Raw genomic sequence first — 25,488 nt, 5'->3', positions numbered from 1 at the left:
AAACTTAAATCTTTAATAAATGAGCAGTAAGCACACCTGTCTGATGTTTTCTGTGGAGGAAACACTATCTTCGTTTTACTTGAAAATAAACAAATCTGTTCTCTCATCCATAAATAAACAATATCTTGATCTTCCAGGGCTATCCACTATATAAAGATCTTTAAAAAGGAAAACCTGTAATAAATGTGAAGCTAGTGCCTATTTGCAAGATGCACAGAAATGCCTGAGACCAATTGAAAATTGCCTGTGAACAAATACGCTTCCAGATTTTTAGCTTGCTCTTTTCTAAACATGAAAATTCTCAGAAGGTACGTGTTCTCAAGATTCATGCCATTTCTTTTTTCCCAAGTTGCTTTATCACGACCATCTTATTTTTCACATTACCAAATAATGCACTTCCCTAAACTATCCAAAATTTTCCATGGTGTTATAGTTTCTAAGGTACTGAGAAGAAACTCATAGGTGCAGCATATTTATAAATTGTTTACAAAATAATATTGAATACATATTTTCTCCTTTTCCCTGTCACTAGTAACTTTTTCTCTGCTTGATTAATTCATATCACATATTTAATAGCCCAATTTATTCAGAACATACTGAGAGGTGAAGCCCGCTGGACTTCCTAGGTGGAGTGGGGACTTGGAGAACTTTTTTGTCTAGCAAGAGGATTGTAAAATGCACCAATCAGTGCTCTGTAGCTAGCAAGAGGATTGTGAAATGCACCAATCAGCGCTCTGTAAAATGCACCAATCAGCGCTCTGTAAAATGCACCAATCAGCAGGATCCTAAAAGTAGCCAATTGCAGGGAGGATTGAAAAAAAGGGCACTCTGATAGGACAAAAATAGAACATGGGAGGGGCCAATACGTGAATAAAAGCTGGCCACCCCAGCCAGCAGCGGCAATCTGCTGGTGTCACCTTCCATGCTGTGGAAGCTTTCTCCTTTTGCTCTTCACAATAAACCTTGCTACCGCTCACTCGTCGGGTCCACGTGATCTTTAAGATCTGTAACACGGGAAAGGTCCATGACTCCATTCTTGAAGTCAGCGAGACCACGAACCCACCAAACCCACAGGCAGGAACCAACTCCGGACATAATACCACATGGCAGTCTCTGTTCTGAGCATTGATGTGTACAGGTTATTTACTTCTCATAAGAACACTGAAAGATAATTGCTACTTACTGGCTCCTTCTTAAGATGAGTAAGCTAGAGATAGATACTCATGATTTGCTCAAGACTTCAGAACTTGTCTGTGGCAGAGCAGAGATGAGAATTAAATTTGCTAGCCACCATTTCTTGGAATTTAAACACATTGTTACGCCACCTCTTAGTATATGTAATTAATGACATGCAGTTCACAGAATTATGTTATTTAAATTATATTGGACAGAAATAAAAAAGTTAGTACAGTTGACACTTGAACAACATGAGCTTGAGCTGTGTGCATCCCCTTATATAGAGATTCTTTTAATTAAAAAAATCAGCATCTGCATTGAAATGTGGATCAAAATACAGTAGCCACAGGATGAAAAACCCGCAGATATGGAGGACTGACTTTTTGTATACTCTGGTTCCACAGGATTACTTGAATATGTGCTGATTTTGGTATCCTCTGGGGTCCTGGACCCAATCTCTTGAGGATATCAAGGGACCACTGTATTTTTATTTAAAATGACAAGAGTAGAGAATATATGCAGATATATCCCGAGGAACATCTTTTAGGTATATGCTTTTCTATTTTAATTCCTCTTAAAAAAAAACACACACATCTTAGAACTTACAATGTATCGATACAAAAATGTGGCCATTATTTATGTAGGAAAAGTTTATATACTCCTCTGGAGGGTAGGAAATGAGATTGCAGTGCACATGGGGTTCTGCCACTCACAGTGTAGGATGTTTCACCATGTCTTCCTGAAATGATTTGCAAATAGTCAAGAACAAATGACTGTGGTGATAGAGATGTATTTATTGCTGCCACCTTGTTCCCACTTCACCGTTGCATATTTGTACACAGGACACATATTTATTCTTTTAAGTTTAGATTTTACTGAGAAATGAGGACCTTATCTGGACTTCACTGGGAGAATTATGAGTGGCCAGAGATACTACATTTTGAGCTGGATGCCAGACCTTGAAAGAACTCTGCATTTTTCATTTTGAGAGAAGTCAGTGTGTTTTATAATGGGAGGAAGATTAAAGCAGGTATTTTGGCATCAGAAGGACTGACCTTGACAGAGATTGGTGAGGTAACATTATTTCTTTCTTTGGACCACAAGAAAATGCTGTATTTTTCAGCCTCAATTGCAGGTAGGATGAGACCATTTCACTGGTGAATGAAATGTAGGTAGAAGTTATATTTCCCACTTTTAGACTGAGCTATAAGATACCTCATGCAATGCTTCTCATACTCCTCTTTATATTAAATGCAGAGGATTCTGTGAAAACGTTTAAGGAATTTCAGAAAGTTAATCCTCTACTGAATTATATGAATGAGAAGAAAAAAAATTGTGTTAAGTCACAGATATTTGCAGTTTGGTTCAGAAACTAATATTAATTGCCCTGACTAATATACTGAGATACTGGTGATGATTCTGCAATGACTGCTTTTACAGTGAAAGTGACCACAGTAGCATGCATGGATAAATTTAAGGTGATAAACATTAGGATTGCTTACATATTTTTTGGCTTCTTCACACACATGGTAGGATATAGCTCACTGCCCTGTTTAATTCAGTTATGGAATGTGATTTCCTTTTGCTTATTGAAATGTTAGTAGACTAAAGTGTCTGTTTCCTTCTAGAGGCAAAAATTCAGAGCGTGCCTCACAACATTCTTTTTTTCCTTGACTACAGTAACTTTCAATGTTCTGGAGTGGCTGCTTTGTCCTCTAGATCCTGGTATAAAGGTGACAATGACCCATGAGTAGAATCATAAGCAACACCAAGGACATGTGAAATGAGCAACTTATGAATGAATTGATATAGGCTCCTGACATTTAGAAATTGTTTTGTTATCACTCAGCTTAGTTTTTCTGATGTAATTTAATTGCTCTAAGGAAACAGTATCTGCTGTGATTTGTTACTGTCTCTTACTGCCCAGTGGTTGGCAAGGCCAAAAGTTCTAGACATGGCAGTATTCTGAGAGTTGAGAGCCAATATATTTTCTTGGCAGTGCTCATGCTCATGGTGCACTTGAAGTTGTGTTGATGCTGCCATAGGAGCACCACAAGCCAACCTTGTTTCTTCCATGGTTGCACTCTTTATGTATTCAATTACAGACCTCAGGTGTGTCTGACATGAAATAAACATACGCAGGCATCATGATGGTAATCAACTGATTGCTTCAATGTGCTGGTCTTTGTAGGTCTTGAGAGTATCAACCTGGAAAAACAAGCTTTTAACTTTAATAATTTCAGCAAGTTAATATAAAGGGAAGTTCCACATATAGGTCTGGATCAAGTTTTTCTATGAAGTAGTTGCCAATTAGAAAAGTTTCCTAAACAATTAACCCTAGCAAAAAATTGTGTAAAGATTCCATTCACTTATTACACAAAACAGTATATTTTATGAGTGCTACCTTCTACTTTGTCCATTCGATAAAAGGTCTCTTCACCCTTCTTTTGTCGTGTTTTGCCTAAATATTTGGGCATAAAGCTATAACCCATCATTCCCTTTTGAAAACAAAGAATAATAACCAAAGTAATATAATCTAAACCTGCTTTAAAGTCCAAGTGTAGTTTATATGTTCCTGTAATTATTTGTCATCTGTGGCTCAAATCCCTTTTACTAAAATACTTTGCACTTCACCATAAACAAACTTGTGCAAACAAACAAGACACAGAAGCGATATAAAACTCCCAAAATCAAGTTACTAAGTTTCAGTAACAAATAAACCTGAATGTATAATTAAATAGATTATAATAATGCTGAAAATTCTGTATTTTAGGTTCTTTATGATCTAGAGTTCTTCACATGTATGGTTTACTAAAACCATTCCAAGTGCTATATTTCTTGCTAATAAAACCAAATAACAATGTTCAGGGTAAATTTTAATGAATTAATGCTTATAATGCAAACTATGCTTTCATCTATTTTATTCAGAAGCACACGATTAATTATACAACAGATATTTTATATGAATGTTCAGAGTAAAGACTATTTTTATTTGCTTGAATGACAACATAACTTATTAAATGAATAAATACACGGATTCGTCTTCTCCATCACCATTTCAGGCATGTTTTTGTGACATCTACCTTCTTCACCGTGAACTCCTTCCTAACCAACCATTATATCTAAAATAAATTATCAGCAAACATAAATAATGTGCTATTCCAGAACTACCTCACATGAGCTAGATGATGGGAGGCATAATTCATAATAAACAGACCCTACCTTTAAATTCTATAAAGCCACAGCATTTAAATTCTAACTATGCCACAGAGCAGTAACCTATTTTCCTATTAATTATATCCCATAAAAGCAATATACCTTCACTAATTAATTATACTTGAAGTAACAACTATGGCTTAATTAAATGAACCATTCCTAATAATGAAACCTTAAAATAATTGGACTCTTCTGTCTAGAGGCAGTAACAATTATTGTCATTGGAAAGGATTTCAAACATGGCTATGCTAAGCAAAGCTGATTCATAACTGACATTGAACCTGAGATTTCCTAGAGCAGTAGCTCTCAAAACCTTTCGTGAAGGGCCAACTATTAAGTATTTTAGAATGTACGTGCCATGTGATCTCTGTCACAAGTACCAGTATTTGCCATCGTAGTGCATAAGTATCCATAAACAATAAGTAAAATAAAAGGATGTCACTTTATTCTAATAAAACTTTGTTTACCAAAATGCATCAGTGGCCTGATTAGCTCTGTGCTTTGTAGTTTGATGACCTCTTATATAGAATTGAATTATTGAACTCATCTCTACTATGTTTCTAGATTTTCTAGTATTGTATTCTAGGTTTCTATCTTTCTCATCTATCCATCTTAATAGTTAAGTTTTACAAACCCTTATCATATATAATATTATTTAAATTATATTAATCTGCATTTAACACACATCTTTCTCTATTTTGTAATTTAGCATTTTTGAGCCATTAAAGTTTAAATTACAGTAGAGATGTAGACATTATGTAAAGGTATATTACTTTATTGTATATGTTCATAAAAGACAATAATGGCCACATTGAAATGACACAATACGATCCACCAAAAGCAAGTAAGGCAGAGATTGTGTACATAAGTAACCAAGTACAAGTTCTGTCCTTTAAGTGAACCCCTACGTCATTATTATTCCCTTATGGTGGAAATTCCAGAAGTAGATAGCACATAAATTTTACATCTTCTTATCTGATATATGGATACCTTTTTTATCAAGTATTCCTTTTTTTTTTCTTTTTTCTGAGATGGAATCTCGCTCTGTCGCCCAGGCTGGAGTGCAGTGGCACGATCTCGGCTCACTGCAAGCTCTGCCTCCCGGGTTCACGCCATTCTCCTGCCTCAGCCTCCGCCCGACTAGCTGGCACTACAGGTGCCCATCACCACGCCTGACTAATTTTTCCTATTTTTAGTAGAGACAGGGTTTCACCCTGTTAGCCAGAATGGTCTCAATCTCCTGACTTCATAACCGCCCACCTCGGCCTCCCAAAGTGCTGGGATTAGAAGCGTGAGCCACCGCGCCCAGCCCATATGCCTTCTTTTATTCATGGTTTACTAATTATAATATTCTATTTATATAATTGAGAATTCCTTGTTCCGTTTTTCTTTCTCATTTTCTTTCATCCTAGTCAATCATTTTCAGTCAAAATGTGTATATATATGTGTGTATGTGTATATATATGTGTGTATATATATGTGTATATATATGTGTATATATATGTGTGTGTATATATGTGTGTGTATATATGTGTGTGTATATATGTGTGTATATATGTGTGTATATATATGTGTGTGTATATATATGTGTATATATATATGCGTATATATATATAGATGGGAAAGAAATACAGAGCAATCTAGGAAGCATTGTGAAAAAATGGTGTGAACGTATGCATCAAAAAGTAATATTACAATTTTATTCAGTATCCCATCCAAACTTTTCTCCTGCAGGACTTTCATGCTTGCTATTGTCAAATCTTCTCCCTTCTGCATAACTTTATCTTCTCTATTATTGCTATTGTCACATAAATGTGCTTTTATATATCACATTAGAAAAATAGTCATTCTCCTCAGTCTACATGTCTCACAAATATAGAACTACTTTTTTTTCTTCTTTAGAGCAAACTTTCTCAAAAGTATTCAGAAAAGTACAATGTGTAAAACAAGCAGCAAGAGAGGACATCTGTGTTAGGGTGAATAATGGCCTCAAGAGATGTCAGGTCTTAATCCTTAGTACCTGTAAATGTAACCTTTATGGCAAAGAGACTTGCAGATGTGAATAAGTGAAGAATTTTGTGATGGAAGATTATCATGAATTATCTTGGTGGGCTCTAAATGCAATCTTAAGTGTCCTTATAAGAGTGAGGGAGAGGGAGATTTGACATAGAATCTAGGTTATGTGATCATGGAAGTGGAGAAATATTTGAAAATTATACGCTGCTATCTTTGAAGATAGAAGAAGTGGCCTTTGAGACAAGAAATGTAGTTCTAGAAGCTGCGTTTCTGGAATAATTTCTAGAATTACTCTCCCCTGAGTTCTCTGGAAAAAATAGGGTGCTGATCACACCTTGGTTTTAGACCACTGATACTGATTATGAATTTTTGGCCTTCAGAACTATAAGAGAAAAAGTCTGTGTTGCTTTAAGCTACCCATTTTGTGGCAATTTGTTACAGCAGCATAGGAAAATAACAGAGAATCTCTTCTTGTTCCCAGGTTTAAAAGCAAGTCTTCTAACATTCCCACATTATTATGTCATAACATATTGTTTATAGGATTTCAAAAGATACACTTTATCAACTTAATTAAGTGCCTTTTAAATCCTAGTTTAATAAGAGCATATATATATATACAGTAAATTAATGATGAATTTTATCAAATACTTCTTTGTATCAATATCTGTTAGGATACAGATCTTAACGTATCTGCATCTACTGAAATTATGTGATTTTTCTCATTTACTCTGTGAATGTGATGAATAATATTCTTTTTAATTGAATCTCAATTATAGAGAATTGAATTAATCATCATTTTGATTAATGACATACTTTCATCTTATGCCTATTCATGGTCATCTTTTATATGTAGGTAATTAAATAATAACTTTTTCAGTGTTGGAAGCAACCAGCATATAGCACCCTGCATAAAAGCTAAAACCTGAAGAATGACCACATTTAGCCATATAGTTTCTCACTCCCATCTCATCCTCTGTAATTACCAGTGTTTGAACCACAACCTCTTTCTTCTCTAAACCACTAGCTGAAATCTAAACTCAGCACTCCAACCTCCCATTTATTGATTTCTGCTAGGCTTCTTGACGTCTCACCTTGTGCATACATATCTTTGATACTGGCCACACTTAAGGGGCATTTGTATGCAGATATTCAGGCTCTCTCTCTGTGGTTACCTCCTTCTTGGAAATTTGTCTCATGAGCCCCATACACACTAGATACTCTGAACTCTAATCTCTGTCACCTCAACACAGTAAAATTTCACTTTCTGTGTATGCTTTCTTTCTTCACATCACTATTTGGGAAATGTTATTAGAGGAAAAACGTCTGAGTGAATGTAATTTATAGTCTATAATTATTTCTTTTTAATAATAATCCCACTCAAGCTCTGTATACATTGATTGTTCTCCCGTGTCTTCCAACAATTGTCTAACATATTTTGCCCAGCTTTTATAGCCAACTTCAGGGTGTGAGTTTGTGCTACTTTATCATGACCTGAACCTGAAATCCTCTAATTTTATTGAAATGGATGGTTATTGTAGTTCATGTTGCATTTCTTGTGTTTCCAATAAGTTTTTAGATTTTCTATTTCTCCACAATTCTGGAATTAAGAATCCATTTGTTTCATTCTAATCTAGTTTCTTATACATAATGCTAAAGGGAGTGTTGTTTCAATGACTGTCAATAACTTCTACGTGGGCACCATTCACATTTCCCAAAGTCTCAGCAGCATTTCAAATTGTTGAAAATTTCTTCCTCTTCAAAACATTATTCATTATAGAGTTCTTTAAAAATATACCAACCTTGCTTTTCTTCTTGCCACCTCAGCTTTTTATTCCCAACTTAATTGCAACACATTTTTTTTTCAGCTCATTTGGCATTAATTTCTATTGTCTGTTTCAACCCTTCCTTGGTGATTTAACAATAAAAATAAATAATTCCTTTAAAGGGCTCATAAGTGTCGGTAACTCCCATAGCTTTACTTTTACCTTTGCCTATTCTCCAACCTTCAGACTTAGACACAAAGTTGTTTAATTACCATCTTGCATTTCTCTCATGCCAAACATCCACATGACTGATAGTCCTGTTATTTCTTTCTTCAAAGTATATATCAAATGCATTCACTCTTTCCATCGCCATTGCTACTATTACTGTTTTAGTCAATTCTGACTGCTATCACAAAGACCTATAGACTAGGTGGCTTAGAAATAACAAAAATCAATTTTTTCACAGTTCTAAAGGCTAGAAGTCTGAGACCATGGTACCAGAGTGACCAGGTTTCAGTGATATCTCTCTTCTAAGTTGCAGACTACCATTTTCTTCTTGTATCCTCACATGCCAGAGAGTGAGAGAACTCTCTTGGGTCTATTATATAGGGGAACTAGTTCCATTTAGAAGGGCTCCAACCTCATGATGTAACCACCTCCTGAAAGTCCCACCTCCTAATACCATCATATTAAGGGTTAGGATTTCCACCTATAAGTTTCAGAGACAGGGTGGCAACAGACATGCAGTCCATTGCAATCAGTATCCAAGACATTACCATCATCATTATCTCCATTCCTTATTTTTTATTATTATTATTATACTTTAAGTCTTAGGGTACATGTGCACAATGTGCAGGTTAGTTACATATGTATACATGTGCCATGTTGGTGTGCTGCACCCATTAACTCATCAATTAGCATTAGGTGTATCTCCTAAAGCTATCCCTCCCCCCTGCCCCCACCCCACAACAGTCCCCAGAGTGTGATGTTCCCCTTCCTGTGTCCATGTGTTCTCATTGTTCAATTCCCACCTATGAGTGAGAATATGCAGTGTTTGGTTTTTTGTTCTTGCGATAGTTTACTGAGAATGATGATTTCCAATTTCATCCACGTCCCTACAAAGGACATGAACTCATCATTTTTTATGGCTGCATAGTATTCCATGGTGTATATATGCCACATTTTCTTAATCCAGTCTATCATTGTTGGACATTTGGGTTGGTTCCAAGTCTTTACTATTGTGAATAGTGCCGCAGTAAACATACGTGTGCATGTGTCTTCATAGCCGCATGATTTATAGTTCTTTGGGTATATACCCAGTAATGGGATGGCTGGGTCAAATGGTATTTCTAGTTCTAGATCCCTGAGGAATCGCCACACTGACTTCCACAGTGGTTGAACTAGTTTACAGTCCCACCAGCAGTGTAATAGTGTTCCTATTTCTCCACATCCTCTCCAGCACCTGTTGTTTCCTGACTTTTTAATGATTGCCACTCTAACTGGTGTGAGATGGTATCTCATTGTGGTTTTGATTTGCATTTCTCTGATGGCCAGTGATGGTGAGCATTTTTTCATGTGTTTTTTGGCTGCATAAATGTCTTCTTTTGAGAAGTGTCTGTTCATATCCTTTGCCCACTTTTTGATGGTGTTGTTTGTTTTTTTCTTGTCAATTTGTTTGAGTTCACTGTAGATTCTGGTTATTAGCCCTTTGACAGATGAGTAGGTTGCGAAAATTTTCTCCCATTCTGTAGGTTGCCTGTTCACTCTGATGGTAGTTTCTTTTGCTGTGCAGAAGCTCCTTAGTTTAATTAGATCCCATTTGTCAATTTTGGATTTTGTTGCCATTGCTTTTGGTGTTTTAGACATGAAGTCCTTGCCCATGCCTGTGTCCTGAATGGTAATGCCTAGGTTTTCTTCTAGGGTTTTTATGGTTTTAGGTCTAACGTTTAAGTCCTTAATCCATCTTGAATTGATTTTTGTATAAGGTGTAAGGAAGGGATCCAGTTTCAGCTTTCTACATATGGCTAGCCAGTTTTCCCAGCACCATTTATTAAATAGGGAATCCTTTCCCCATTTCTTGTTTTTCTCAGGTTTGTCAAAGATCAGATAGTTGTAGATATGCGGCGTTATTTCGGAAGGCTCTGTTCTGTTCCATTGATCTATATGTCTGTTTTGGTACCAGTACCATGCTGTTTTGGTTACTGTAGCTTTGTAGTATAGTTTGAAGTCAGGTAGCATGATGCCTCCAGCTTTGTTCTTTTGGCTTAGCATTGACTTGGCAATGCGGGCTCTTTTTTGGTTTCATATGAACTTTAAAGTAGTTTTTTCCAATTCTGTGAAGAAAGTCATTGGTAGCTTGATGGGGATGACATTGAATCTATAAATTACCTTGGGCAGTATGGCCATTTTCACAATATTGATTCTTCCTACCCATGAGCATGGAATGTTCTTCCATTTGTTTGTATCCTCTTTTATTTCATTGAGCAGCGGTTTGTAGTTCTCCTTGAAGAGGTCCTTCACATCCCTTGTAAGTTGGATTCCTAGGTATTTTATTCTCTTTGAAGGAATTGTGAATGGGAGTTCACTCATGATTTGGCTCTCTGTCTGTCTGTTATTGGTGTATAAGAATGCTTGTGATTTTTGTACATTGATTTTGTATCCTGAGACTTTGCTGAAGTTGCTTATCAGCTTAAGGAGATTTTGGGCTGAGACAGTGGAGTTTTCTAGATATACAATCATGTCATCTGCAAACAGGGACAATTTGATTTCCTCTTTTCCTAATTGAATACCCTTTATTTCCTTCCCCTGCCTAATTACCCTGGCCAGAACTTCCAACACTATGCTGAATATGAGTGGTGAAAGAGGGCATCCCTGTCTTGTGCCAGTTTTCAAAGGGAATGCTTCCAGTTTTTGCCCATTCAGTATGATATCATTATCTCCATTCTATATTTGGATAATAGTCTCTGCCTTTGTCTTCTTGCATTTATTCTTTTCCCCTAAAGTGATTCTTCAAAGAGTAATGTCAAAGAGAACCAGAGCCAGAGGGTAATTAAAGCAGTAAAGAAAGATTTTATTCAGAAATTATTGCAACACAGGAAAAGAGACTTTAGTAGAGAAAGGAGCTCAATTCCAAATACAAGCACGCATGGAAATTTATAGCAAAAGAGCAGTGTGAGGGGGTCAGTGGATGGAAAATTACTAAGAGGAGACATCAAAAGTAGGGGAACTCTTGCTAAACCAAATTAACAGGATTCTTGCTGAAGGCAGCTCAGGGTGATCAGATATCAAGATTCTGTCTATATGGACTTAAGGATTCTTGTTAAAAGTGAGCTATGGAGACTAGGCAAGGGGCCTAGGTGAAGATCTAGTTGAGACGAGAGCTCAAAAATCTGACTAAAGTTTGATGAAGGAGTCTTTGTCAGTATTTGTGTTAATTTTTTTTAATTAGTAAAAGTGAGGCTTATTTGCATTCTTCAAGGACTTACCAATTAATAAGCTATGTTAAAATCTCCAGTTTTAATGTCTATTTCTTCTTTCAACTTCTTTCTGCTTTATGAAAATTGTAATTTTGTGTATGTTATTAATATATATTTTATTTTTAATGTAGAATGAAGCATGAATCCTTCTGTAGAATAAATTTCCCTTCCTTATCCTGTTAAATTTATTTTGTCTTAAATTCTATCTTGTCTCATAGCAAAATTCTGACAACTATTTCAGGATCTTGCTATCATACAAGATCTATCTTTGCTCTTCCTTTTACATTAAACCATTCTGAATTGCCTTGTTCAATATGTTTCTTGCACACAGAATAGATTGGATTCTGCTCCATTAGCCAATCTAAAAGTATGCCATTTAATGGTGAGTTAAGCCCATTTGTGTCTTTGATATACCTGTTATGCTGGTGTTAAGTTCTGTTATATAAGTTTTTGCTATATAAATAATTTATATAAAATCTTGCCCTGTATTTACACTTTAATTTGAGGGGCAGGATATACTCATTTGGTATTTATAAATGTTTCTATGTTTATTCTTATTATTATCTTATAATAATATTATAATAAAATATACTAGTCCTCTAGTGTGTTTGAATACTGTCTATTGATTTCTTCAATGAGTAGTAATACTGTATTCTAGTAAACTTTCTTTCCTTTCTTCTCTCTTTTTGCTTAACATTTACTTTAATTCCATATTTTTTTAATGGCAGTTAGATACTCCTGAGATAGTCATTAAGATTCGTCTACTTTCTTTTTCTTCTCCTTTTTTCCATTTGTTGTTGAGTTGCATTATTTCTTCATGTTTAACACACTTAATAGCATCATGTTTTGTCACTTTAATCCCCATTACTTGTTCTTAATTATAAAATTAAACATATTTAGTCCTTATCCAGAAGCTTCACATGATGTTTGTCTTCTTGTCAGTAGGTAGGACATTTCTAAAAAAGCCATCACAGGAACAATGTTTCTTAAAATCATAAATATTCATGATGTTCTACATTCCTTAGACATGATTCATAGTTTGGATGAATAAAATCTCATCTCGCTACTGTGTTATCTGTTTCATAATCATTAAACCATTTCTTGATTATCATCCTGTATAAAATGTTGCTATCAAGAAGTCTATTATCAATATAAACTTCTTATCCTTTTACCTTCATGCTCAAATAATTAATATTATTTTTTATTTTAATTTTTGTTCTTAGAAATAACCGTTACATGGGTATTACTATTCTTTGCCGAAGTTCTATGTTTAGAAAATTTTTAGATGTTTTTAATCTCTCAATTTCTGTTTTTTACTCTTATTTTTATACTCTATATCTCTTACTATAGTTTGTACCACTTCTATTTGATTTTATGTACCTTCAAATTTTTTTTTTCTAAAAATTATTTTCTAAAAATTATCTTACTTGTCTCAGATTATCTGATTCTCTGATTAATTTTGATTTTGTTCCAATTGTTTTTCTTCAGGGTAAGTATTTTTCTTTTGGGAGTGAGCATTATTGATGATTTCTTGTTGTAGTTTATTGATATTAAGATCTTACAATACTTCCTTTTATCTTCATTTTATCTTTGCCATTAAGTCCAGCTGGTACTGGCCCTATGCTGCCAATGATTAGGACAATTACTCTTGTATCCTGGGTTTTATGCTGATTATTTGTCACCTGTTTTAGTTGGTGATGTCACCCATGGGTTTTTCAGTTACTTCTCCTAACTCCTCTGCCTGGTGTTTGGTACAGATCCAGACATAAATGAAAGAAAAGGAGATAGATAGATAGATGGATAGATAGGTGATAGATAGATAGATAGATAGGCTAGATTAGATAGATAAATAGATAGATAGATACATATTTACCTATATACTTACATACCATAGTTTGCTGCTGAGAGTCTCTCCAGTTTATTTTATTTAATATTCTCATAACCTAGAAGCTATTCTCTACAATGATAAAATAATCCGGCCGGGCGCGGTGGCTCACGCCTGTAATCCCAGCACTTTGGGAGGCCGAGGCGGGCGGATCACGAGGTCAGGGGATCGAGACCATCCCGGCTAAAACGGTGAAACCCCGTCTCTACTAAAAATACAAAAAAATTAGCCGGGCGTAGTGGCGGGCGCCTGTAGTCCCAGCTACTTGGGAGGCTGAGGCAGGAGAATGGCGTGAACCCGGGAGGCGGAGCTTGCAGTGAGCCGAGATCCCGCCACTGTACTCCAGCCTGGGCGACAGAGCGAGACTCCGTCTCAAAAAAAAAAAAAATAATAATCCAACTCTCAGGCAATACTGAGCAAAATATAGCGTAATTAATATCTCAACATACTTGACCCTATATTTTATATGAAAATAAATGAGGCCAGGCGCAAAGTCTCATGCCTATAATCCCAGCACTTTGGGAGGCCGAGGCGGGTGGATCACTTGAGGTCAGGTGTTCGAGACTAGCCTGACCAACATGGTGAAATCCCGTGTCTATTAAAAAAAAAACACAAAAATTAGCCAGGCATGTTGGTGCATGCCTGTAAGCCCAGCTACTTGGCAGGCTGAGGCAGGAGAATTGCTTGAACCTGGGAGGTGGAGGTTGCAGTGAGCCGAGATCATGCCATTGCACTCCAACTTGGGCAACAAGAGCAAAAAATCTCTGAAAAAAAAAAGAGTAAAACACTGGTTGCTCTCTGTTTTAGTAATATGTTACTTGTTAGGTAAATGTGATACATATTAAGTAAAGTGGGATTTTTCTTAGAGAAGATATTTATCTCTATTGAGGTAGCAAAATAAATATATATAGATTGAATGAATTTGTCTCCTTTTAAGTTTAAATAAGAAATGGGTGTGTGTGTTTTTTTGGACTATTCCTATTTTTCCTGGCTTATTCATATTCTAATTCCTCTTGTTTATATAATTATTCACTTTGATCACCTCATATATCTTATCTTTTTTGGGTAGCCTAAAAGCAAAAATATTCTTACAGTCTAGTCAGCATTTGCTGTGCTTTCTTATTATTGTACTTGTTTAGCACAAACTTGATGCTGATTCTACTTCTCATTCTTCATGACAAAACAAGTGGAAAAAATATCTGGGAACTGGCTCTGTGACATGGCTAAATAACACTAATATGAGTCTTGTGCTCTTAATCTATGAAATGGGAATAATAAAAATAGCAAGTCTGTAATCACTGCTATATGAAAACTCCGAGTTTTATGAGTGCTTCTGGGAATACCTAGTAAAGAAAACATATCTGTGTGCTTTATCTTTTAATAGTTAAAAACAGTTTTGACAATAAGTAGTTTATATTTATTAGTTATTATAATATGTATAATTGTAAATAGTTTATAGGTATTAGTTATTATAATATACATGTACATATAACACATTCATATAAACTATAAGTAGTTTATACGTATTAGTAATTATAATATACCTATTATAATAACTAAGAATAGAAAGGCAATGTAGAAACTAAGAGTTATATAATACCCATAGTAATTAATCAATAAGCAAATACTATTTTTAGTATTTTTATACTATTTGTATATGTATTCATTACTTTATGTATATAATTCTTTATATAATTCTTAGGTTCTATAATACCTTTATTCTGTATATTTTGAATTATGTATTTAATAGCCTAATATATTTCTAATTTGCAGAAAACAAGGAAAATTGTCTTCCTTCAATTATTATAAGTATGCATTTCTTTATCCAGGGAGGCTAAAAGGCAAGATCATAACAAGCTATTATATGGAAAATTATTTCTTCAAAATATTCCTTTTAAAATTGAGGCAACAGAATCATTTTTCCCTCTCATTGTATGTTTAATTTAAAATTGTTTCAACAACAATATGTAGATTGCCAGTTCAAGTTCTCAGGTGTAAGAAGACTCACATTTCTTTGTTATACAATACAATATAAATATAAAGTAAAACATTATATTAAAATGAACGTTTTATAATATTTGGACATTAATATCTCAGCCTTTCATTAGCATATTATTTGAAGAAAGGCATTCACTTTTTCACAGGTTACTTCCTTGCTCCTGAAAATGATGATGTTCTATTTTCTACTATTTGTGTCTAAAAATTTAAACAGGTTAGTATATCCTCTGCATAAATGCTGCAAAATACAATGCACAATAATTTTGTTAAAATTACTAAATGTTAGTACAAAATTTGATTAGTTTTCTTAATAATTGTTTCCTTATTTTTCATATCTATATATACAATCATTCTAAAGTTAAGAACTGACTACTCTCTTGATAATGGAGAAATCTTTCAACACACAAAAACAAAATTTTTATTGTCTTTCAAATAGGTCCTGAGAAGAGGATTAGAAAAAGGCAACACATCAAAAAGTTAAGAGGCAGAAATAGCTTTTATGTTGCTGGTAAATTTAATGAGATCTTAAGTTATTAGACTGGCAAGTCTCATCTCTTTGAGCATCTCAGTGAAGACTGTCAGAAATCATCAAAATTCAACACAACAGAGTAAAAGCTAATAGCCTTTTTGTTATACCAAAACTGAAAGGATTGGTAAGACTCAAAATGAATGCTATTACTGAAAATCTTCTTTTATCTAATTCTTTGTGCAGTGAGTGAAATTGAACAAATACATATCCTTTTTATGGTGTTAAAATGAATTCTGACACTATTAAACAAATATTCTTTGGTCCTAAGACCTCCTCAATACTTCTTTCACAAAAAGTATTATTAGAATAGCCTATGTGACTCTAGTTCATAATATTATGGCTATCATTTGATTATTTTCTGTGAAATAAAAATGAAGCACTCTATTTTTTAAAAAATACTGTGTTTTGATGAAGAAGGAAGTTTTTGAGTGGTTATCACATTAGAGAAATTTTTATTGTAATCAACCTTTGATAATTTCTGACATGATTAATATTTATCTTCTTTTCTAGATGTTCTTAAGTAACAAAAAGCAATAAAGATAAAATACAGGACATCAAAGATATCACATACATTCATATATCTCAAGAAATGAAAGCAATGAAAGAGCTGTGGTATGATCCATATTTTTTGTTTGTTGACAACTAATGCAAAATTCCAAACAATAATGAAGCAACTACAGATTTGGGGAAAATAATAAATCAGAAAGAGCAATTGAGAGAGCCTTTTTAGAAAAAAGTTTTCTCCTTTGGAATTATGTTACATTTTGAGTAATTATTATGATAGTCAACCATTAATTTATACATTTGTTTTTAATTTAACATATATTTTGAGTATTAAATATATCAGGCACTATTATAGGTGCTTGTGCTAATTAACAACCAGTTTTCTAGAATGTGTAAAGTGCCATAGAAAATACCTCTTGGGTTCTATGCTCACTACCTGGATGATGGGTTCAGTCATACCCCAAACCTCAGCATCATGCAGTATACTCTGTAACAAACCCTCACATATATCCTCAAATCTAAAAGTTGAAATTTAAAAAAATAAAAATAAAAAGCAAATGATTATATTAAGTATATTAACTAAAACAAAACTAAGTGATTCTGTTTTAGAAAAAGAATTTAGAAATGAAGGGGAGTGGAGACTAGAATAACACTTATGGTGTTCAATCAGAATCAAAACTATCAATATATACTTAAGTTTACTTTTTTTCTACATTAGATAGAAATTGAAAAGAATGTGTAGATATATAAATAGACCTAGATGCACATGTTTGTGTGTGAATGTGTATATATATATATATATATTTTTTTTTTGAGATGGAGTCTTTCTCTGTCGCCCAGCTTGGAGTGCAGTGGCCTGATCTTGGCTCACTGCAAGCTCTGCCTCCTGGATTCATGCCATTCTCCTGCCTCAGTCTCCCAAGTAGCTGGGACTACAGGCACCTGCCACCACGCCCAGCTAATGTTTTTGTATTTTTAGTAGAGACGGGGTTTCACCGTGTTAGCCAGGATGGTCTCAATCTTCTGACCTCAAAATCCGCCCATCTTGGCCTCCCAAAGTGCTGGGATTACAGGTGTGAGCCACAGCGCCCGGCTGAATGTGTGTATATTTCTTAATTTTAACCACTAAGACTAGAAGCAATAACATTTTAATAGCAATCAGCACATCTAGCATTCAAATCTTGGATTCACTTTTTTCTTCGTTAAAAGGATACAGAGCTGCTTGGATCAATGCCTGATTCTAGGTGCATGCGGCAGAAAGAACAAAATGGGTCTGAGACATCTGTTGTTGTTAAGAAAATAAGGAAGTCTCAACTAATGATGGAGACATGCCAAAGAACATAGGAGCTAACTAGAAGTGGCTCTCAGTGACACAAACTGAGATAAATTGAGCAAGGGAATAAATAATGATGGCAATAGATTATTCAGATTAATTAAACCAAATACACATGAATCCACACTAATATAAATAAATAATTGGATAAATAAGAAAAGTGGGACAAAGGAAAGCTTTTCCATACAGTAGAATTCTAATCAATAAATATAGAAAGAATAGTGGAAATAGATTCTCATTTCTTGGCAAATACCATATAATTGTTGCAGACAAGTCTGCTAAAATTAGTGGATACAATTATGAGAAACAAGATATTTACATAATCTCCAAGTATCTCTCAACAAAATACTGATTTTAAAAATGGTAACTTTGAAGTGGAGAAATGTGGCAGACAATATCTTATTCAAGTGATCAGAGTTAATGTCAACAGTATTAGGACACGATGATATCATGTGCCTCCTGATATGATGCACTGAGAAGGACAACCTCGGCATTGTGGCATTCTTGCCAAAATATATTATGTGAATTTAACCATGAAGAAATATTAGAAAAAAATCAAACTTCAGAATAATCTACAAAAAACAAGTATCAAGGGCATGAAAGACAAAAAGAAAAGCTGAATTTTCTTTTTTAACATTTTTTTTTTTGAGATGGAGTCTTGCACTGTTGCCAAGGCTGGAGTGCAGAGGCGTGATCTCTGCTCACTGCAAGCTCCGCCTCCTGGGTTCACGCCATTTTCCTGCCTCAGCCTCCCAAGTAGCTAGGACTACAGGTGCCCGCCACCACGCCAGCTAATTTTTTGTATTTTTAGTAGAGACGGAGTTTCACCGTTTTAGCCAGGATGGTTTCTATCTCCTGTCCTCGTGATCCGCCCGCCTTGGCCTCCCAAAGTGCTGGGCTTACAGGCATGAGCCACCGCACCCAGATAAAGAAGACTAAAGAAATGTAGCAGATAAATGCAATGTGTGACCCTGATTTTGATCCTAGTTAAAAAACATTAGTGGAACCATGAACAAAATATGTAGGTAAGTAACTAATTCCATATCAATTTCCTAATGTGAGTAACTGTACTCTTAGATTGGTGTTAGCAGTCAAGAAGCTGGGTGAAGAATATATAGGAACTCTTGATTTTTTAAAATATATTTTTGTAAGCTTTAAAGTAGTTCAAAATGAAAATTTTAAAATAAAATGAATAAAAAAGAAAAAGGATAGTATGGATCTTCTGAAGTATTGTGCTAAATATAAAATTCATGGTCCATCCCTGAGGTCTTTTATATTACAGTGTTTAAGATATAAAATAAATGTAAAGAAAACCAAAGAATGATCAATAGTGATGAAAGTTATCACTATTTCTGGATAAACCATGTTCTACGATAGCACATAACTGGTGATAGCTTGGAGTCATGCGAAGACCTCTCCAAGAAAATGAAATGTAAAGTGATGACTTAAATATGGAAAAGGAACCATTTGATTAACAAGCCAAACTATGAAGCTTCAAAGACAAGTTGTTACCTTGTGCAAAACCCTGACATGGGGAAAAACTGTGTTTCAAGAGTGGAAAGAGCCCTGTCTCGTTAGGAGTGAGGGTCTTGAATGGTGCCTTTGATTGTAGACAGCAGAGCAGAGCTTTAGCATCCTGGAGATTTGTAATTGTACTCCACAAGTAACTAAAGGATTTAAGGCAAAGGAGGGAAAGAATCTTGCTTACATTACAAAAAATAAAAAAGAAAAAGAAGAAATAAAAAAGAAAAAAATGTAATATATATTATTATTATTACATTGGTTTATAATAATTGGTTTATATCTAATTTGTTTCCCTGTGTTTATAATACATATATATCTCTGCCTCTTAAACCAAGAATAATTTTTACTGGGACAAGAATAAACACAAGGAAATGAATTAGAAAACTATTAAAGTGAAAGGACAAGAAGGTGGAGACCTTGTTCAAAATAATGAAATACATATTTAAGATATGTGCAAGTTTGAAGAAAACAGCTACTGATAGGGTTTTGGTGTATTAGATAAGATAAAATCAATGGGAACACCAGCTGAAGTAAACAAACAAACATACACACACAAACTGGGAAGCAGAGAAAATAACAAAACTCTACTTAAAACATTATGAATTTCAGTTGTCTATAAAACAATCCACATTTGATATTAAGTAAGTAGATGACTATGCAAAGCTCTACCTCAGAGAAGATACCAAAATGGGAAATATTCTGAGATGCTATCATGTAACTGGCCTTTAAACCCATGAAAATGCTTGAGAACACTCGGGAAAAAGTGAGTAAGTAGAGAAAAAAGAAAGTACTCAGCTAAGTGGGTTGAAGACAGTACAGGAAATATTGAAGGAGACTGTCTATTGTTTGATTGATTTCTTTCAAAGAAAGAATACAAAGTAAGTTGATAACTGAAGGACAACGGTAGGTCAATGTAAACTTTTAACAAAAAGGGAATTATTCATTAATGAGAATGATAATACTAAAATGAGAGGGAGAGCTAAGGACAGAATTTACTTAATATTGGGAGATCTTGTCAATTTAGCATAAGACGTGGTAACTTTGTAGAAGGTTATTGTTATGAATGCTGTGGGAGTGAATGCATTGGGAAACTAAAATAGAATGTTTGGCACTGTTGAGTATCCTTTTAAGTTTTGTAATGAATTGAAATCATGTTATTAGTTACAACGTGGATGAGCCTGGAGGACATTACGTTAAGTGAAATAAGACAGGCACAGAGAGAGAAAAACCACATGTTCTCACTTATATGTGGGAGGTAAAAATGAACTTATAAAAGTAACAAGTAGAATTGTAGTTATCAGAGGCTGGAAAGGATGGGAATAAGAAGAGGATGGAAAGAGGTTGGTAAGCAAAGTTAACTTTGTAACAAAGTTGTAGCTAGAAGGGAGGAATAGCTCTACTGTTCTGTAGCACTGTAGGGTGAATTAAGTTAACAATAATTTAGTGAATTTTTTTAAAAACGTACCAGACAGAATTCTGAATATTCACATCACAAGGAAATGACAAATGTACAAGGTGATAGATATGCTAATTACTCTGATTAGATTATTTCATATTGTATACATGTATCAAAATATCACTCTGTATCCCATAAATACGTATAATTATGTGCCAACTAAAAATAAAAGAAAAAATAGAATTCAAAATATAATCAATGTTCAACAAAAGCTTGTTAAATTAAGACAAAGAAGCTATTGAAAATGATTTTTAATTCTGAATTTAAATTAAAATAATCTAGCTTAATTATGTCATTTCCCCCAAGAATTCTTAAGCTTTTTGGATGCTAGCCCATTAAAAAAAAGAAAAAATTTGGAATCATATTGTTTACTCTAATAACCTAGTCTAAATCACGATTCTAGAGAGAAGTGGTAAAGACTCAAATTGTTATTATATTAGAAACTTAGCCTTCTGAAGGCAATATTAGGGAAAAAGAACTCTAGGCCACAATGAGAATGAGAGTAGTTTAAACAGGAAAAGGAAGAATCAGAGAGATTATTGAAAATGCCATCCACTAAGCATAATTCAAACAGAAGACAACATATATATATATATATTTTTTTCACCTAGGATTAGTAAATCAAGAAAATTGTATTACAATTTTATTGGAAGATGAGTTCTATAATATACTAAGTATAAAAAAAGAAGTAAAAGACTTGACATATACCATAATAAAATATTTAATAAGAACATATCTAGTAAGTACATAGAAATATATAAATAAAAACAGCTTTATTCAATAAGTATTTGTGACTATTATATATGTTATCTCATTTATCTTCACATTATTTTTGTAGGATAAATATTACTAATTTGATGTGTTGGTTGCAAAAAGGGTAATGTCACTAAAAGAAGTCAGATAGCCTGATTAAGGTTTTACATTCATTCATTGTGACAAATATATAATGAGAACACAATTTCTCTTATTATATCAAACTACCTGCTAAACAACAAAAGGAGTTTGATGATTTAATTACATATACTTTATCTTAATTCCCAAAGTGTATTAATATGGAAGGGCATTCTTTGTTGGTACTTGATGAGGTTAGAATTAAGAATTTAAAACTTATTGGTATAAACATATACCTAATTTAAATCATTTAAGTTATGATATATTAAGCTAATACATGCTTGAATTTGTTACTACTTTTGAAAAATTCTGTGTCTCCCCACACCTTCCTCATTCCACTTCGCTAGTTATTATGTTTCTTTTTTAATTTATGAAGATGGAATATAATGCCCAATTCATAATACTGTTTTTCAGGTACAAAGTTGGCATAGACAATACTGAAATACATGTGATGACATTTACAGTAGCAATTCAAATTAAAAGAGAAAAGCATCTTTCTAAACCATCTTCAAGTAAACAGTTGCCATTTATTTCTACTAGCAAATATTTCTATGTATCCTAAAAATTAAAAGTGATATACATTGAGTAAGACTTTACAGTCCTCAGAATAGTATAATGGAAAAATATGTATTTGATATGTTTTCCTGCCATTTCACTATCTAGAAATTGTCCTAATCCTTAAAAGAGATCATTAGCTAGCCACTGAAATCTCAGGGGAAAAGCTGTTAAAACTGACAGCTACATTTTTTAACACTACACATATAGACATCTCAGAGTTTAAATACATTGGATTTGTAATCTCTCTGTTATTTAGAAGAGGTGCTGTATAGGTGAAGGACTCATTTTGTGAACCTTTCTTAGTATAACAGCTAATTTATTCTTAGAACATTTCTAGAGAAAGAAAAACAGCAAGAGATCATCAGAGAATAAAAAAAGGTATTATAAATATGAGTTAAAATCATTTAAAATAGCAGTTTATTTTTCAGAAAAGAATTTTAAGCCTCTACATATTTATGAAGAAGAATGGAAACTCTTGAACAACAGTCATGAAAATTTAAAATACAGATCTGATAAAAAATTCCTCTGCCTGTTTTATCAAATGTGTTTAGATTGGAAATAAATAGGGAGTTTGTTTCATAGCTCCCCTGGTTGGAGGTAAAAAATTTCTATTCCTTAGGAAATGGAATAAAATAAGTTGGTTAAAAGAAGTTTTGAGATTCGTTCGTCCGTAGCATTCTAAAATAGGAATTAGCTTAGGTCATCAACGACCAAAATTATCTGAGTTTGGTGGAGATAAAAAAGCAAGACTGAAAGTTATATTTTTTTTCAAGCAATGTTTGAATGGATAAAGTACAGAAGGAGAAAAATGGTTGCATTTCTATGCATTGAAAATGCTTATTTGGTTTTCTTTTAAGCTTGTTGTTTCAAATGGCCCACTTAAATTTACTGACTCTATACCAAATAAATTAATCTCACTTTTCACACTGCTATCCCTCTAGTTTCTTGCCTCAATTTATTCCAGAATGACATTCTACATTTATTCAATAAGTACTCAGAGGGATGCGTTATGTGCATGGCATTCAACTAACCATTAGTTGGACAAGACAAACTAAGTAAAGGATATCTTTCCTGCCTTCTTAAAGTTTGCAGTTTAATTATCTTGATTTCAAGCCTCATTCTGTTACATTTTCACTAATTTTCCATATTTTTTCTAAGTCTCTGAAAAGTTTTGATAGTGAATTCCATCACCTTTATATTAGCTAAGCTCTCATTGGCTTTCTAACTCAATTTATCACATGGATATTGACTTTCAACCATGTTTTCTTTTTTTTTTTTTTCTTTTGAGATGAGTTTTGCTCTTGTTGCCCAGGCTGGAGTGCAATGGCGTGATCTCAGCTCACTGCAACCTCTGCCTCCAGGGTTCAAGCAATTCTCCTTACTCAGCCTCCCAAATAGCTGGGATTACAGGTGTGCACTACCATGCCCAGCTAATTTTGTATTTTTAGTAGAGACCACGTTTCTCCATGTTGGTCAGGCTGGTATCGAACTCCTGATCTCGTAGTCCCCCCGCCTCGGCCTCTCAAAGTGCTAGGATTACAGATGAGAGACACCGTGCCTGGCCTCAACCATGTTTTCAATTCTGAAAACAACTAAGAAGTATATGACCGTTCTTACCTTCAAATAAATACAATTTTAGTCTAAATGATAAAAGGACTCTATATAGGTAAATTCATCATAAGTTAGGAAGTACAAGTGGAATGAAAAGTTGAAAAAAAGGCATAGTACATGAGTATGAAAGGATACAGAATTAAAACCCATCTAGAAGATTCAGTAAAATATATGGCTTCCTTTTTATCCAAATAATTTTAGAAACTTTCCTTCCAACTTCCACACTTCTATGGCATTCAATTCCCATCTTTATTTTATTTCGTCTTATATTTTGTTTTACCTTCTGTCTTTACTTTCCCTTCTTGTTGAAGTAATTGTTTCCTAGAAACATAGATCTTCATAAGGTTTATTACTGATTTAACATCTAAAGTTATCATATAATATGAGCTAGATTATGTTATCTAGCAATTTATCAATTGCAAAAATTTCACCCAATTGTAATTTAGAAAAAGTGTCAAACCCCCTAATAAGTTGCAAGAATAACAAAACTAATATTCAAATACATGCAACTCAATCCATAATCCATGTTTGTGTGTGTGTGTAAAGTTTTTTTTTTTTTTTTTGAGACTGAGTTTCGTTCTTGTTGCCCAGGCTGGAGTGCAATGGTGCAATCTCGGCTCACTGTAACCTCCGCCTCCCAGGTTCAAGCGATTCTCCTGCCTCAGCCTCCCGAGTAGCTGAGATTACAGGCATGCGCCACCACACCCAGCTAATTTTGTATTTTTAGTAGAGACTGGGTTTCTCCACATTGGTCAGGCTGGTCTTGAACTCCCGACCTCAGGTGATCTGCCTGCCTCAGCCTCCCAAAGTGCTGGGATTACAGGTGTGAGGCACCGCCCCAGCTAAATTTTTTAACTTATTCAAAAATCAGTTGTATACATCACTATAATTCACAGGGATAAGCAAATTATTTCCATAAAGAGCAATATAACAAATATTTTAGGAGTGTGTGTCTGTAAACTTCTGAGCTTATTCAAAAAGTAGTTGCAAACATTATTATGAGTCACAGTGTCAGCAAAGTATTTATTTCTATAAAGGGTAAGACAGTAAATATTTTAGGCTTTGGGAACATTGTAGAAGTCTCTGCCACAACTGCTAAACCCTGTTGTAACAAGAAAGTAGACAATATGCAGACAAATGGCTGTGGCTACAATATTATCAACTTTATTCATAGACACAAATGTTAAATTTTGTTAATTTTGTGTTACGGACTATTATTCTTCTGTTGATATTTTTGTATTATTCAAAAAATATAAAAACATTCTTAGCTGCAGGTTGTACAAAAACAGGCAATAGGACAGGTTCAGTATATGGGCTGAAGTCTGCTAAACCCTGTGGTTCAACTAGAAATATTACAGTATATAGCTGCTAATAGCAAGAGCAATGTCCTATTTATACACAAGAAAATTATCACGGGTGGAAATTATATTAAATACATTTTAATCATGCAAATTATACAGGAATGTAGTACTTTTGAAAAAATCAAACGATTACCAGTAAATCTATTGTGTGTTGGTTCACCCCCAGAAGGCCATTATTATCAGTGTGGTTT

At 34.1% G+C, this 25,488-nt stretch overlaps 1 long non-coding RNA gene across 10 annotated transcripts in view; it reads left to right on the top strand.

The window, feature by feature from the left end:
- LOC105372733 (uncharacterized) overlaps positions 1-25,488 on the top strand; it is a 123,425-nt gene that overhangs the window by 61,291 nt on the left and 36,646 nt on the right. For 2 of the 10 annotated variants that reach the window (XR_001754953.2, XR_001754952.2), the window contains exons 1-4: positions 1,851-2,250; positions 15,677-15,744; positions 15,967-16,183; positions 16,570-16,671. The exons of 2 other annotated variants lie outside the window; for them this stretch is intronic. This is a non-coding gene — a long non-coding RNA (uncharacterized LOC105372733). 6 more of the 10 variants (XR_951164.3, XR_951170.3, XR_002958652.2 and 3 more) reach the window with 6 other exon arrangements.

This window comes from Homo sapiens, chromosome 21 (genome assembly GCF_000001405.40).
Source record: "Homo sapiens chromosome 21, GRCh38.p14 Primary Assembly".
NCBI classification, from domain to species: Eukaryota; Metazoa; Chordata; class Mammalia; order Primates; family Hominidae; genus Homo; species Homo sapiens.
This window is presented reverse-complemented; position numbering and strand designations above follow the sequence as displayed.